General features: G+C 39.5%; 2 gene segments (V, D, J or C) and 1 further gene, besides 8 other annotated features; all 3 read left to right on the plus strand.

Moving 5' to 3' along the window:
- Positions 1-16,437, plus strand: part of TRA (T cell receptor alpha locus) — a 930,229-nt gene that overhangs the window by 88,493 nt on the left and 825,299 nt on the right.
- Positions 1,935-1,998: a sequence feature (TRAV2 leader sequence).
- TRAV2 (T cell receptor alpha variable 2) lies at positions 1,935-2,447 on the plus strand. The segment is given in 2 exon segments: positions 1,935-1,998; positions 2,174-2,447. Coding segments are annotated over 2 exon segments (338 nt in total), but the record flags the coding sequence as incomplete, so codon positions are not given.
- Positions 2,174-2,184: a sequence feature (TRAV2 leader sequence).
- Positions 2,455-2,477: a recombination feature (spacer).
- Positions 2,478-2,486: a recombination feature (nonamer).
- Positions 13,493-13,538: a sequence feature (TRAV3 leader sequence).
- TRAV3 (T cell receptor alpha variable 3) lies at positions 13,493-13,925 on the plus strand. The segment is given in 2 exon segments: positions 13,493-13,538; positions 13,629-13,925. Coding segments are annotated over 2 exon segments (343 nt in total), but the record flags the coding sequence as incomplete, so codon positions are not given.
- Positions 13,629-13,639: a sequence feature (TRAV3 leader sequence).
- Positions 13,933-13,955: a recombination feature (spacer).
- Positions 13,956-13,964: a recombination feature (nonamer).

The following is a 16,437-nucleotide window of genomic DNA, read 5'->3' on the forward strand; positions in this document are numbered from 1 at the left end:
AAATGTAAAAAAAAAATGTTAATTGCTGTGTTTGCAGGAGTTACAGGCAGCCTATAATTCCATCACTAGGGGATTGCCTAAGTAAGTGTGGTGCATGCTGAAATACTGTGCAGTAGTTACTTTGAACCAAAAGTACATAACCAGTATCTAAAAAGAGTTTTAAGTTATCTGTAGCTCTGTACTAATTGGCTTCAGTAAGAAGCTGCTTAAAGCCTTAATCAGCTTACTTGTCAAATTGTATTCCTTTTGTGTTCCCCTCTGTGTTTTGGTTGTCAGAAATTTCAGAGCTCAAATTAATCATAGTAGCGATCTTAGTCCTTCCACTAAATATATCTGTCCACTTCCCTTTGATTTTTCTATCCTCATTTTAGAGGCATTTTTGAATTCTGTATTTTATTTGGAAGCTTTTTGAGGTCGTATATATAAATAAAAGGTTTCTGTTGGACCTAAATGATCATCTTATCATTATTATTATTTTTATTTTTAGATGGAGTCTTGCTCTGTTGTCCAGGTTGGAGTGAAGTGGCGCAATCTCGGCTCACTGCAACCTCTGCCTCCCGGGTTCAAGTGATTCTCCTGCCTCAGCCTCCCGAGTAGCTGGGATCACAGGAGACTGCCACCATGCCCAGGTAATTTATATATTTTTAGTAGAGACAGGGTTTCACCATGTTGGCCAGGCTGGTCTCGAAATCCTGACCTCAGGCAATCCACTTACCTTGGCCCCCCAAAATGCTGGGATTACAGGCTTGACCCACTGCTCCCGGCTCATCTTATCATTATTAAGGACTCTGTCATTAAGAAAAGAGAAAAGATTAGGAAAGAAATGGATTTCCTCTCACCTAGAAGACTATTAAAGAAAGGAAAGGGGATGCATAAAGCAACCATCTGAAGATGGAAAAAGAAGTGTGTTACTCCATGAAAGTATGTGTTTAATAGCCACTCACCTGAATGAAGAACATCTTTTAGTATTCAGAAGGCTTTTCCAAAAGGCAGTTATTTCCTCTGGATAGCCTTCATATTCCTATGGAAATTGAATAAGGATGAAAAATTTGAACAAAAGCAAAGGACATGAAATCTCTTGAAGATATGAGAAGCTGTGAACACTTGTCTTAGAGGGTGCATGGAGAAATTATTTTTCATGAGTTCCCATGTAGTCCGCTAGGTGGCGGAGGTTACATAAAAACCCTACTGTATAAACACTGAATTGCTACACACTTGTGTTTCCTCTTCTTTTTCAAGTAAAATCCCAAGGAAACCTGTAGAGTATAATAAAAGCTGGAGATAGAACTTTGTAGTAAGCCCTATATTAATAACAATAACAGTGTCAGGTTGCAAAATGAGGATAGGTACCATACCAAAAGAGATGATCTCCAAATGCAGTTTTTGTTTCTTTTGTTTACAGAAAAATTACAACTGATTTTTTTTTCCATATTTGTTCCAAAGATCACCTTGAATGCAAGGAATCAAATTTTGATCAGTATATTTACACAGTAACTTTTGTACCTTAAAAAATTCATTTCTTATCTACTGCAGCTACTAATATCTCACGCTAATTATTTTAAACACATTAGCAGGTCATCATGTCATATGTGACGGGACTTAGCATACTTTTTGTGTGACTATATCACTTTAATTTGTGTGATGAAGCAGTGCCCCATTAATTATGTGACTCCTTCTAATACCCTTAGAGAAGAAAGGAAGCTCCTTGAATACTAAATTTGCACAACCACAGTGACCTTATAAAGGATGCATTCCCTTTTAAGATTAATTTCTCAGAACAAAGCACAGTGACGTCATTACTAAGCAGCCTCACAACTGTAGCAACCCTTCTAAAGGTTGTAGATTCTGGCTGATGATGTCACTGACACAAAGGAAAAAATGCAAAACAGGTAGTCTTAAATAAGCATTCTGGTGAGACCAACTGCATTTTGGCCATGGCTTTGCAGAGCACTCTGGGGGCGGTGTGGCTAGGGCTTCTCCTCAACTCTCTCTGGAAGGGTGAGTAGCCTCCTTCACTATTTGGTTTTGTAAAAGTGTATGAAATTGTTTTAAAATTTGGACTCATTTTTAATACAAAAACAAGAGAAGTCAGATCTAACATTCACTGTACCTAAGGGGCAATCAACAAGCCAAATAGTACTATTAAAGTGACAGCCCTTTTTGTTTTCTGTAGTTGCAGAAAGCAAGGACCAAGTGTTTCAGCCTTCCACAGTGGCATCTTCAGAGGGAGCTGTGGTGGAAATCTTCTGTAATCACTCTGTGTCCAATGCTTACAACTTCTTCTGGTACCTTCACTTCCCGGGATGTGCACCAAGACTCCTTGTTAAAGGCTCAAAGCCTTCTCAGCAGGGACGATACAACATGACCTATGAACGGTTCTCTTCATCGCTGCTCATCCTCCAGGTGCGGGAGGCAGATGCTGCTGTTTACTACTGTGCTGTGGAGGACACAGAGGCAGGGAACCCATGAAGAGCTGAACAGAAACAGAGATCACAGCCTTTGCAGGAGGCAAAACAGAGATGAGCAATAACTTTTTCCTCCTTAATTCAGTATTACCCAAGCTTTTTCATTTGGTACTGCTATTAGGAAAAAAAATTGAGTCCAGACATACTATATATTAACAAATGTCTATAAAAATATGCTTTTAATTTTTTTTTGAGACACAGTCTTGCTCTGTCATACAAGTTGGAGTGCGGTGGCATGAGCATAGCTCATTGTAACCTCAAACTCCAGGGCTCAAGGGTAGCTGGGACTCAGCCTTCTGACTAGGTGAGACTATAGGCATGTACCACCATGCCTAGTGAATTTTCCTCCTTTTTGTAGACACGAGTTCTCTCTGTGTCATCCAGACTGGTCTCAAACTCCTGGCTTCAAGTGATTCTCCTGCTTTGGCCTCCAAAAGTGTTGGGATTACAGGTGTGAGCCAATGCACCTGGACCAGAAAATATGTTTTTAAAGGGTGATTATTTCAAATAGTCTTCCTGATATCTGAAACACTTTTGACTCATTTTCTTGAGATCTGATTAGATTATTTTTGTTTTTCCCTCATAAAATGGCTGATGATGAACTTGTGATAGTAGTAAGAGGCATGTCCACTCTTCCATTTTCTTCTCTTTTTTAAAAATTCAGACAGGCTGGAGTGCAGTGGCATGATCATAGCTCACTGCGGCCTTGAACTTCTGGCCTCCAGTGATCCTCCTGCCTTGACCTCCCAAAGCACTGGGATTATAGGTGTGAGCCACCAAGGCCAGTCAACTCTTTCATTTTCTTATTGCTGTCTGTGCTTACCTTTTAAATACTATCTGCTAACTTCAGTCTTTTTGCAGCAATATTTTCAAAACATGTCAATTTGTAAAGGATGGTTTAGTTAACATTGGGTAATGTAATAAGAAGTGAGAAAGGAAGGAATAAATGAGTGGCTGATACCTACAGCCCTGCATTTGAAATCTCAATCCATGCCTCAGTATACTTTGCTTATAATCTAGCATACAGTCCTGTTGAGGGTGCCAGTCAATGAGTATATGAAATATTAGTCAAACTGAATCTCCTTCATAATATTTAAACTAAAAACAAATGCAAATGGAAGTATTTGTACTCATTGCAATGCATTCTTCCCACACTCCTGTTAATTAGCTTGGTCCTCCCACCCCAGATGTGTCCCTCCCACTTTAGAGACCAATGCCTTAGGGTAGCCCAGTGGTTCTTAATATATTTTATCCTCCTAGATCGGAAGTTTTGTGAAAATTGGATTTGTTTTCTTGGGGGGCCATATTCTAGATAAACTCAATCAGAGTTTGCAGGGGTGGGACCCAGAAGTCTATATTTTCCATAAAGCTCTGCTGGTGATTGTTTTGCTCAGCCAGGGTTGATCTGTGAATTTCAGATTTTGGACCCCAGGTGTATTACTCCATTCTCACGCTGCAATAAAGAAATACCCAAGACTGGGTAATTTATAAAGAAAAGAGGTTTAATTGACTTACAGTTCTGCATGGCTGGGAAGGTCTCAGGATACTTACAATCATGATGGAAGGCAAAGGGGAAGAAAGGCACCTTCTTCACAGGGCAGCAGGAAGGAGAAGTGCCAGCAGGGGAAGTGCCAGACACGTATAAAACCATCAGATCTCGCAAGAACTCATTCACTATCATGAGAACAGCATGGGGGATGCCATCTCCATGATTCAATTACCTCCCACCGGGTCCCTCCCACAACATGTGGGGATTATTACAATTCAAGGTGAGATGTGGATGGGGACACACAGCCAAACCATATTACCAGGTCTTGAGGCTTTAACCACTATTCTCTACTTCCTTTTAGGTAGAATTTTAGTAACAGAGAAGGGCTTCAGGAAGTGAACTGTACAGTGCTATTGCTTGCTTACACAGTAGACTTTCAGCAAATGCTGACATTTGGAATAAAAAGTGAAGGGCAAGATGGGCACGATGGGTTATACCTGTAATCCCAACATTTGGGAGGCGGAGGTGAGAGGATCCCTTGAGCCCAGGAGTTCGAGACCAGCCTAGTCAACATAGTGAGACCCTGTCTTTACAAAAAATAGGAAAAATTAGCCTGGTGTGTTGGCATGTGCCTGTAGTCTCAGCTACTTGGGAGGCTAAGGTGGGAGGATTGATTGAGCCAGGGAGGTTAAGGCTGCAGTGAGCCATGAGGGCACCATTGCACTCCAGCCTGGGTAACAGCAAAACCCTGTCTCAATTAAAAATAAAAGTGGCCAGGTGTGGTGGATCATGCCTATAATCCCAGCACTTTGAGAGGCTAAGGCAGGTGGATCGCTTGAGCTCATGAGTTTGACACCAGCCTGGTCGGTACTCAAAATACCAAAAATTACCTAGGAGTGGTGTGCACCTGCAGTCCCAGCTACTTGGGAGGCTGAGGCAGGAGGATGGCTTGAGCCCGGGTGGCAGAGGTTGTAGTGAGCCAAGATGGCACCACTGCACTCCAGCCAGGGCATCAGAGTGAGACCCTGTTAAAAAAAAAAAAAGAAAAAAAGTGAAGAGCAGATTGCTGATGACAGAAGAAAAAAGGTATTTTAGTAATATCAATTGTCATGAAACTTTGCCAAAATGTCATAAGATTGATTCTTAAATGCAAATTTTTAATAACACCCAAATATTTCCATTGGATATAAGTGTAAATTGGTATGTTTGTGCTTGTATTACTTCTTTAGGCATATTATATTTTGGGTTGTTGCTTGCTTAAAAGTGTGTTAATCTTATTTTTTAAATTTTATTTATTTATTTTTTCTAAGATGGAGTCTCGCTCTTGTCACCCAGGCTGGAGGGCAGTGGCGCAATCTGGGCTCACTGCAACCTCCGCCTCCCGGCTTCAAGCGATTCTCCTGCATCAGCCTCCCAAGTAGCTGGGATTACAGGCACATGCCACCATGCCCAGCTAATTTGTATTTTTAGTAGAGACAGGGTTTAACCACGTTGGCCAGGCTGGTCTCGAATTCCTGATCTCAAGTGATCTGCCCGCCTCAGCCTCCCACAGTGTTGGGATTACAGGCGTGAGCCACCACGCCTGGCCTAATCTTACTTTTTAATCAAATGAAATTCTTGAGAAGAGGAAGCATATGTGATCCTTCTTTCAGGTTGTCCTGCATAGTTCTGTGTGCACTGTAGTGGCTCAATAAATCATGAACACAGGTGTGACCTCATTGCTTTGGCAAGAGAGACCAGAGACAGAAAATTCCCTTTGGTTACATTAGGAAGTTCTTTCCAGTTCACAGAGGAGTCTGTACATGTGGTATACTGAAAACCCTACCTTTTACCCTGGTGTTTTGATTCTATAATTCAAACTGTCAACAACTAGTCTTCTACCAGATTTTTTCCAGCTTACATGAAGAACACTAAAGGCATTATTATCCAAAGGGGAAAATGGAAAAAGAGAGTGAAATAAGAGGAAAATGCAGTTGATGCATTTTTCTTACAACGAAGAGAGCAGCCATGAAGTCCCACTCTTAAAGTTATAACATTATGAAGCTCCCAGTTCAGTGGTGACAAGGACAGAAACATCCACAGGAGAATAAATTTTTTTTTTTTACTCCCAATCCTGGGAGTTCATATATATGAATCGAAAGGTAACTGTGTCTGTCACTGGCTCCATGAGAAATCTGAAAGACTTGCCATGCCTTGCTACTGTATCCTACGTCCTCTGACTTCACTGCTAGTTTTCTTTTCTTTTTTTTTTTTTTGACGGGGCCATGAAAACCACCTACGGTAATCTTCTGTACCTTCTGAAAATCATGGCGCCACAGAGAATGGGGGGTATTTGGAAGGCTGTGTTGCTTTCATTTTCTTCCTAGGATTAGTGTTATGGGTTGAATTATGTTCCCTACCCCTTGCCCCGCAAAAGGATTTTTTTTTGAGTAGGTGACACGGGTAAGTCCTAGCCGTCAGCACCTCAGAATGCAAACTTATTTGGAAATAGAATCTTTATAGTGGTGATAAAATTAAAGTGAAGTCAAAAGGATGAACCTTAAGCCAATAATGACTGGCGTCCTTATAAAAAAGGGAGATCTGAACACAGAGACAGACATGCACAGAGGGCAGACAATGTGAAGAGGCACAGGGAGAAGATATAAAAAATGTAGTATTTTTCAGAGGTTTGAGATAGCATGGATATAGCTGGGACCAGAACACAGCAATAAACTGTGTGGGGAGATTGAAAGTCAGATGTGAATTAAAATATTTTGCAGATGCTTGTGTAGATAGATAATGATCTCAAGGTCCAGTTTACATTTATTTTCCCTGTGATACCTTGGAACTACATAAATTGCCTAGAAATTAGGCGTAATCTCAGGAAAAGGTAGGAAAACTCTGATTTGACTGAGATTTGGTTTCTGATACCTGGTAGACTATAGCTTTAAATAGAAATTAAATATAGTTATGAAAAAAGTTTTTTTCCCTCCTTCAGCATCTACTTTTGTGTATTGAAATTATACTTACAGATGATTTAAAACTTTGCTTTCTTGGAAATGTATGAAATGATGATGATTTTGGTAAAAGGGATAATACTGTCTTAAACCACATAAGGGGAAGACACTGTCAATAGGACTCTCATGGATGAATAGTATTCCCTTTGGACTCATTTTTGAAAACCTGAACAATAAAATAGAAGATTTAAAAGCTACACATAAACTCTCACAAATTCATCTGTGACATCTTTTGCATGATCTTTGTTCTAGTATTTAACTGAATTTTTCCATAATCTTCTATAGCCATTTTCTGTCCTGCTGTTCTACATTCTTTTACCAGATTATCTCAAAATGTATCCTTGATTTTGTTATTCCATAAATAAAATCCTTCAGGCTTTTTAATTTTATATATAAGAAAGAAACAAAAAGAAAAACAGCAAATCTAAATAGAAGTACCCTCTGCTTAGTAAAGCTGTCATATTATGAACCCAATGAAACTTTGCTGCTTTACTTTCTGCTGCTACATCCCCTATCCCCTTGGGTCACCAAATAAGTTTATTCTCTAGCCTTTAAGACCTGTTGGCATTATCTCCTGTATGAGTTGTATCAGATTATTTTCTCTGCCTGAAATGCCCTCTTTCTCCCTTTATTCAGATTGTAGCCCAACCTCTATAACTTCTTCAGCTGAGGACTCTCTCCCTTGTTTGTGCTGCTATAGTATAATGATCCCCAAAGTGTTTGACTGTGTGCTATTATCAGTAAAGTATGTTACTCCTCCAACATATGCATATTTATATGCTCATAGATTATGATCGTGTGTGCAACAAACAAAAATAGAAATTAGGAAAGTTTGAGATAAATTTAATACTAAATGTTGTGATTTTCTTCTCGCACGCAGGGGGATCATCTTGTGTAGCACATCCGTGTCCCTTCTACAAGATGAACTAACTAGACTAACTTGGTCTTTAACTAGTTGGCTAAATTTCTTAAACTTTGTGAAACTCTTTCTTCTCTCATTTGCAAGAAATATCTGTAATGATTTTTCTATTGATATAATTCTTGCACATTTTACTTCAGATAGTTAACTGTTCTTCCCCTAAGTGTTCATCTACCAAAATGGATGGTAAGTTTCTGGAGGGCAAGGATTATGTCTTGTTCCTCTGTTTATTTCTCAATGCAAATGGTATCTTACATTTAACAGGTACTGAAAAGTGATTTGTGAGGATCAATGGATTCACAGGGTTTTCTCCTGGAATTGTCAGAATGCCAAGGCAGTTCTTAAGTAGATTCCTGGATGAGGAACCCTCTCTGCAAAGGACAACCATTTGTGATGAATGAACGGAAACAGAGCTCTTAGATCATTGCGTATAAGATGGCCTCTCATTACATGGATTTCTGCTAGCTCTGTGTACTTATTTAAAGTTTCAATCATCTGACAGTTATTTATTGGGTGCCCATAATTTGCCAATCACATGTTTTTTTTCTTTATATCTGTCCCATAAAACAAAACAAAACAAAACAAAACAAAACAAAACACCCATCCTCAGAGCTTCTCTACAATAGACACACACCAAACTAAAAATAAAAATGCATGAATCTCAGGAAGAGAAGTTCTAAAAAACAATCTAGACCATCTGCCCATGGGATGCTTGATTTTCTCAACAGCATCACATCAAGGGAATTGCCAATATTTTCACAACAGCTTCTTGCAGGAGGGTTCTTGCTGCTCCCATACTGTCCATTCAAACTCCAGGCGGCTGTGAGTTGAAAATCTATTATTCTTTATGTTGAGGAAACATCTGTGTTCCTGTGGCTTCTACACCTTTGGGAATCTAAAAGAGTTCACATCTCTCCTTTACACATTTTGAACCAGATACAACATTTCCACAGAGCAGTTTTTTTCCATATTAAATATTTGTAAGTTTCCTAACCATTATATATATATATATATACACACACATACATATGCGCTACAATTTTGATTTCCCTCTTTGTTGTACATTTTAAACCGTTTCCAGTTGGCTTGTATTTCTTTTAATATAGAATTCTTAGAACTTAATAAAACACTTCAGATGTGGCTTGACCTATTTTAAACTACAAGGAAAGAAGGAGGAAACTGGATGAAGGTGAGGCAAGGTAAATATATTAAACCCAGAGACACTACACAAATCTTTTCATTCCACTGAGACATGGATGGCCACTGATTCTTGATCTCCTTTGTTTGGAGGTAGGAGGGCAGAAGTTCAAATTACAGATTTGCCCCCACCTTTCTTTTGAGAGTTCCCTAACTTATGTGAAGTATGATTTGCTTAGTTGGACTGTATATTTTGTCAGTTTCATGGAAAAAGCACTGATTTCTTTGTTCTAACAACTTTATTTTGTGCTGATTTTTCTTTGATACTTCTAAAATAAATGTAATGTACATTTCAGAGTCTAATATTTGCAAAGGGATTTGTCATTAGTTTACATGAGCCATTTCTTGTCTCTTGTGAAATCAATGATATTTACAGAGTTCTGATTTTTTTTTTTTTTTTTTTTTAAAGAAACAAGGTCTTGTTATGTTGCTCAGGCTTGCCTTGAACTCCTGGTCTCAAGGGATCCCGCCCCCACCCCCGCCCTGTCTCAGCCTCCCAAGTGGCTGTGACTATAGTCATGTGCCACCGTGACAAGCTAAGAGTTCTGATGTTTGCAAGTAGTTTCTTGAGAAAGGCATTGGCAGCCTTGGTGAGGCATCTGGAGTCTCAGACTGATACTCCTTGACACTGCTCTGTGCTACTCTAATTGCCCTTGTGTTGTGATGTGCATGTTTCAGTGGTAGTTAAATTAAGGAGTAAAGGAAACTACCCTGAGGGGAGCACAGACATCTACCTGCAGCATTTTGGGCACATTCCCCATTGGCCCACCCATCTCATATTTGACTGACCTCTAAATGGATAGCACTACACCCAGTTTACTATGGTTTGGAGAAACAGTTCATGTCAACTTTCTGTGAATGTCATGGTTCTTTCAATAGAAATCGGAGAGTTGGACAGAATAGCTAAAAGGTGGTCCAGACTGGGTGCATATGGCAAATTGATAAGAAAGAGTCAAGTTTTCATCAAACTTTCTGTACATAAACCTGTACCAGCATAGCAGTGAGCAAGAGGTGCAGGAGAAGGTGGATGACCTTTGAGTGCTGGTGATTTAGAATTAATTATCCAGGAGTTGTTTTGGTTCAGTGGCACATACATGTGGGATCGGCATTTGGTATAATGCACTCAATGGACAATATGACCTCTAAAGTTCTATTTAACTTATTCAAGCTTGATTCTGTAATTTTATTATGATAAGGAAGCTGCTTTCCAATATTATATTGTCTTTAATAGAAAGCAAATTACCAAAATTGATATTCCCCCTATATGATTTAAAGGAATATGCCTTTGAAGTCGGTAAAATATGGGTTAAAAATCTTTGTTCTTTTTCTTAAGGATGATGAGCAAATTATTCAATTTTCCTCAACTGTGGTCCCCTCATCTCTAAAATGGGGCATCTTAGGAAGAGTAAATGTGACAAAGAATGTAAAGGGTTTAATGTTATGCTCACGGCGACATTTGATGAATAATTTCTTAATTAATCTCAGAAATCAAAGCAGATAAGCTGAATAGCTACTGAGGCTATGTTGTTCAATTTTGAAATTTCAGTCTAGGCCCATGGAATTCTTTGGGTGCTGCTGGTTACTTTGTGTGCAGTGCATTATGTGGAGGTCCCTGAATCCTTCTCTATCTGCTGAGCAGTTAAAAGGCAGTTCTTTAACTGGAAGCAAACACGAAGACTAAACTGTCCTAGTTTTGAGGAAGAATAAGAAGGAGGAGGAGGAGGAGGAGAAGGAGAAAATGAAGATGAAGAAGACGAGAAGAAGAAGAAGATTAAGAAGAAGATGATTAAGGATTCTGCAACAGTTCTGTCATTGCAAATGACTACCCATTTCTAACCACGACATAAATTCAGAGGAAAACTTTCCTCTTTCTATAGCTGAACATGCTTAATTAATAAATATGGTTAGTTCCTTCCATAAGTATCCTTTAGGGGGAGACCACTAAACAATCAACCATTTCTAGCACAAAATTAAAAATATCAGTCTCCTAAATATTTAGTTCACTTGAGGCTCTTGGCATTAATTATTAAATGGATGAAGGCAAACAATATCTCAGCCACTTGCACGATCTAGGCATAATCTTGTGTGCTGTATCTGTAGAGGTCAGAGGAAGTAGGGATTGGAAAAATAATCAAGGCACTGAAGTCTACACTAGACTACTGTTTTAGTTAAACTTATTTTATTTGCTTTTTTATGTTGATCATATCATATGTTGATATATGCCCATATATGCGTTTATAGGGCAGCAATAAACTCCAGTGTCAGGAGGCTGGACAGTCTCTGTTTTCCTCTTCAGGTCTATTCTATCCTGCTCTGTACTAAAGTCTATATTAGACTATTGTTTTAAACTTATTTTATTTGTCTTTTTATGTTTGTCAAAATGCAGTATAGCTATGCCCGTATATGCATTTGTAGGGCAGCAATAAACTCCAGCATCAGAGGGCTGGACATTTCTCCATTTTCCTCTTCAGGTCTATTATATCCTGCTCTGTACCCCAGGAGGCTGACTTCTATACGTTATGTGGACTGGTCTCCCATGTCCATTGGCATCTGGTTGGGTTTACCCCAGTGGGAGGTATTAGCAGGAGAGAGTGGTCAAGATATTTGCATTTTAGGATCCTTTCTTTCCTCTACTGAAGTTTACAGCTCCTGTTGGGTCTACCCAGAATATGGTCAAGAAGAGGTATTTAGACTGTAAAGGGTCATGTCGCCTTTGGCCTGTGATTAGTTACAGGTGTCCTGAGATTAGGGTAATTTCATCTTCTCCCGTCCCTTTGGGCCTAGGAGTGGTGAAATCTTCTGGCTGTTATTAGCCCCAGGTGCTTCACCTTCCCTTGTAGTTTTCCCTAAATTTTGCACATACACTTAAAAATATTCTTTTTGTTAAGCTTTTTTTCAATGATTTTCTCGAGGCGATTGCCAGGACCCTCAAAAAGACAACACTAACACTCATTTTAGGCTTGAGGCAGAGAGAGAAGAAAGAGAAGAAATTCACTATATGTTTCCATTTATGACAAGTCTCTCTGGAACTTGAAGATTATTGTTTAAAGACAGTTTACCAATTCCAAAGAAAAACATTATTATATGGCTAAGTTTTCAATGATTAAATATGAGATCTTTAGCAAAGCTTTTAGAAAGAATTATGTTCCACTTTTTTTCTGATTCAAAGCAAAGAGATTTTTCATCCTTTCCTCAGAATATATAGTGAACATTATTTGGACACTATTCAAAAGAAACAGAAGGCAAATCAGAGGAACAACTTCTTTATATTGATACATGCTTTTTACATTAAAATTAAAATCTATCAAAGAATCACTCAGTTGCTATTGTTGCCTTTTTTTAGTATAAAACTTTAGCATGCCATCCCTTTCCAATGAACCCCTTTTCCCCATCATAATACATCAAGTTTCGTTAACCATACATTTTTTGCTGAATACGTACTTCATTTGAAGTCTGTTTTAAGTAGGCTCTGCATGTGGAAAGTACCTGTTTTGCAACCCCTTCTCAGAGTTTCATTTTTTTGTTTTATATGTACTGTTTAATATGACAAATGCTCCAAAAATATTTATAACACCTATTCGTACTTTTCTCACTCTAAAAATGTTTAAAGAGAAGATTCAAGTTTCTTTTTGCCCTAAAGATCATTATGGGATGGGCTCCTAATAGGCCCAACGTGGAGAAAATTCTGAGTTATTTTTGGTCAAAGAGGTTTACACAGAAGCCAGCTCTGAATTACTTCTAACGAGAAGAGCAAGGCTCCTGTTTTCGCCTGTCATTTATCTTCTCTTGCCTTACTCTTTTCTCCTATTTTGCTTTTTCTTATCTCTCACTTTAAATTTTTCTCTCCCTCTTGATGCAAAGCTATATTTTCCTTTCTTTTTCTGTGCATTTTCCCATCCTATTTCCCTTCTTTCTGTCTCTACATTATCTTAAGAGAGCACAAATCATTTACAGCTTGATCCACTCAGCCTGAATCTTTTCCACTTTGATTCACAAACTTCTATTTCTTCTCCTTTGAACCCCTAATTTGCTCCCTATGTCCCTCATGGAGCGTGTAACCATCCAAAGGTTGGCCCAGGGATAAGGCCAGGAAGCACCAGCTGCTTGACAGTAAAGTCGCTGGTCCTACGTGTGGGCTCTAGGGGGCGATGCAGTGTAAGGTCTGTCCTGGGCATAGGCGGAGCGGCAGTCTTGCTCCTCACAGAGCTTTGAGGAGCTGGATCAAAATTGTGCTCCACAGAGAGAAGATACCGGTGTCGGGAAGCACCAGTGCCCTGAGGAAGGGCCATTTCCAAAAGCCCTGTGCTGACACAGGGTTGCTGGTTCCTCTTCAAGAGCCCACTCTCTGGGGTGGGGCCATATCTCCAGCAGAGGTGGGCTGGAAAGGACCCCCCCAATCCCGCCCGCCGTGAGCTTAGCTGGAGCCATGGCCTCTGCACCCATCTCGATGCTTGCGATGCTCTTCACATTGAGTGAGTAATATCCCCTTCCCATTTTCCACTCGCATGATCCACTTACATGCTCTCCAGCAGCTTCACTGATGCAGCATGATTAATTTACAGGTGGGCTGAGAGCTCAGTCAGTGGCTCAGCCGGAAGATCAGGTCAACGTTGCTGAAGGGAATCCTCTGACTGTGAAATGCACCTATTCAGTCTCTGGAAACCCTTATCTTTTTTGGTATGTTCAATACCCCAACCGAGGCCTCCAGTTCCTTCTGAAATACATCACAGGGGATAACCTGGTTAAAGGCAGCTATGGCTTTGAAGCTGAATTTAACAAGAGCCAAACCTCCTTCCACCTGAAGAAACCATCTGCCCTTGTGAGCGACTCCGCTTTGTACTTCTGTGCTGTGAGAGACACACACTGATAGGGGCTGCAGGGGGAGCAGAACACAAACTCTTGAGTCTGGTAAAGCCCATTTTCTTGAAGTCTTTGTTCCTTCACATGAGAACGGTGTGCTTCCAGGATATGTCACTTATTATGTTAAACTACAATTTAAAACCATAGAATTTGCTCATTCAGCAAGTGTTTATTGAGTCCTGATGTGCCAGGTACTGGGCAAAGCACCGGTCATAAAAAGGTGAAAGAAGTGTAAAACAAATAGAAAAAAACATAGGGGAAAATTACCATGACATTGGTCTGGGCAAGAAGTTCCTTCCTTCCTTCCTTCCTTCCTTCCTTCCTTCCTTCCTTCCTTCCTTCCTCCCTCCTTCCCTCCCTGCCTCTCTCTCTTTCTTTCTTTCTGAAAAGGGGTTTATTTTCAACAGACATTTCTTTTTATACCGAGGTGAAATGTCATCATCATAATAATTTTGCAATGTTACATACCCTGTTGAGACCATTAAAAAATTAGGTTCATGGTATACACGTCCAAGTTTGTTACAAAAGCATATTGTGTGATGCTGTGGTTTGGGCATCTATTGATCCTGCCACCCGAAGAGTGAACATAGTACCCAGGAGAAAGCTTTTCATCTCTTGTGAGCAAGGAATTTTTGGATATGACCCCAAAAGCACAGGCAACAAAAGCAAAAATAGACAAATGGGGCTATATTAAACTAAAAAGCTTCTGCACAGCAAAAGAAACAATAAATAGAGTGAAGGGAAAGCCTATGGAATGGGAGGAAATATTTGCAAACTCTACATCTGATAAGGGGTTAATATTCAAAATGTTTAAGAAGCTCACATACCAAAAACATCCAAATAACCTGATTAAAAAATAGGCCAAGGAACTGAATAGTCGTTTCTCAAATGAAGGCATAAAAATGGCCAAGAGGTATATAAAAAATGCTCAACATCATTAATTATCAGGAACGTGCAATTAAGACCACCATTAGATATCACCTCACAACCTATTAGGTTGGCTATTATCAAAAAGACAAAAGATAACAACCATTGTTGAGAAGGTGAAGAGAAGGGAACTCTTCCACACTGCTGGCAAGAACGTAAATTCCATAATGTGCAACCATTATGGAAAACAGTAGGGAGGTTTCTCAAAACACCAAAAATAGAACTACTGTATGATCCAGCAGTCTCACTATTGGGCATATATCCAAAGAAAATGAAATCAGTATGTTAAAGAGATATCTGCACTCTCATGTTTATTGCAGCACTATTCACAATAACCAAGATATGGAATCAATCTAAGTATCTATACTTAGATGAATGGATAAAGAAAACATGGCATATAAACACAATAAAATACTATTCAGTCTTATAAAAGGAAGAAATCCTGCCATTTGTGACAACACAATTGAGCCTGGAGGACATTATGTCAAGTGAAATAAGCCAGGCACAGAAAGACAAATACCACATAATCTCACTTATTTGTGTAATAAAAAGGTTGAATTTATCGAAGCAGAATAGAATTGTGGTTACCAGAGGCTTGTGAGGGGAATGGAAAGGGATTGGAGAGATGTTGGTTAAAGGACACAAAATTTTAATTAGATAGGAAGAATAAGTTCAAGATATCTACTGCAATGGTGACTATAGCTAATAATAATGTATTTGCAACAGAATTTTTTTTTTTTTTTTGAGACAGAGTCTCACTCTGTTGCCCAGGCTGGAGTGCAGTGGAGTGATCTCGGCTCACTGCAACCTCCACATCCCAGGTTCAAGCTATTCTCCTGCCTCAGCCTCCCAAGTAGCTGAGATTACAGGAGCCCGTCACTAACCCTGGCTATTTTTTTGTATTTTTAGTAAAGACGGGGTTTTACCATGTTGGCCAGGCTGGTCTCGAACTCCTAACCTTGTGATTCGCCTGCCTCAGCCTCCCAAAGTGCTGGGATTACAGGCGTGAGCCACCGCGCCCAGCTGCAACAGAAATTTCTAAAAATTGCTGAAAGTAGATTTTAAGTGTTCTTACCACAAAAAGGATATGTATGTGAGGTAATGCAGACGTTAATTAGCTTGATTTAGCCATTCCACAATGTACACATATTTCAAAACATTATGTTGTATACCATACATATATACAATTTTATTTGTCAGTTTAAAAAAGAATTGAAAGAAGCTATCTTTGATCTCTATGTGCCAGGTGTGTTTCCAAACATTAATGAACGCATTTAATTCTCACAAGTATTATCATCAGCTTCACTTTACAGATGAAGAAGCAAAGTCACAGAGAATTTAAGTATCTTGCTCAAGTCACAAAGTTAATAACTGGTAAATTGCAACCCAGGCAGTGTGTCTGTAGGGCACATGGTCCAACTACTCCACTCCTCTGCCAGTCTATAGGCTTCTTGGGGCAAGAGACTGATTTTGGTGATGGTGTAGCCCTAACTCCAGAAAGGGTCGCTGTCGGAAAAGTGTTGGTTATATGAATGAACAATACACTGACACTCTAAACAGTTTGGTGTGTGCCAAGATAGAGAA

Source organism: Homo sapiens, chromosome 14 (assembly GCF_000001405.40).
Source record: "Homo sapiens chromosome 14, GRCh38.p14 Primary Assembly".
In the NCBI taxonomy this organism is placed as follows: Eukaryota; Metazoa; Chordata; class Mammalia; order Primates; family Hominidae; genus Homo; species Homo sapiens.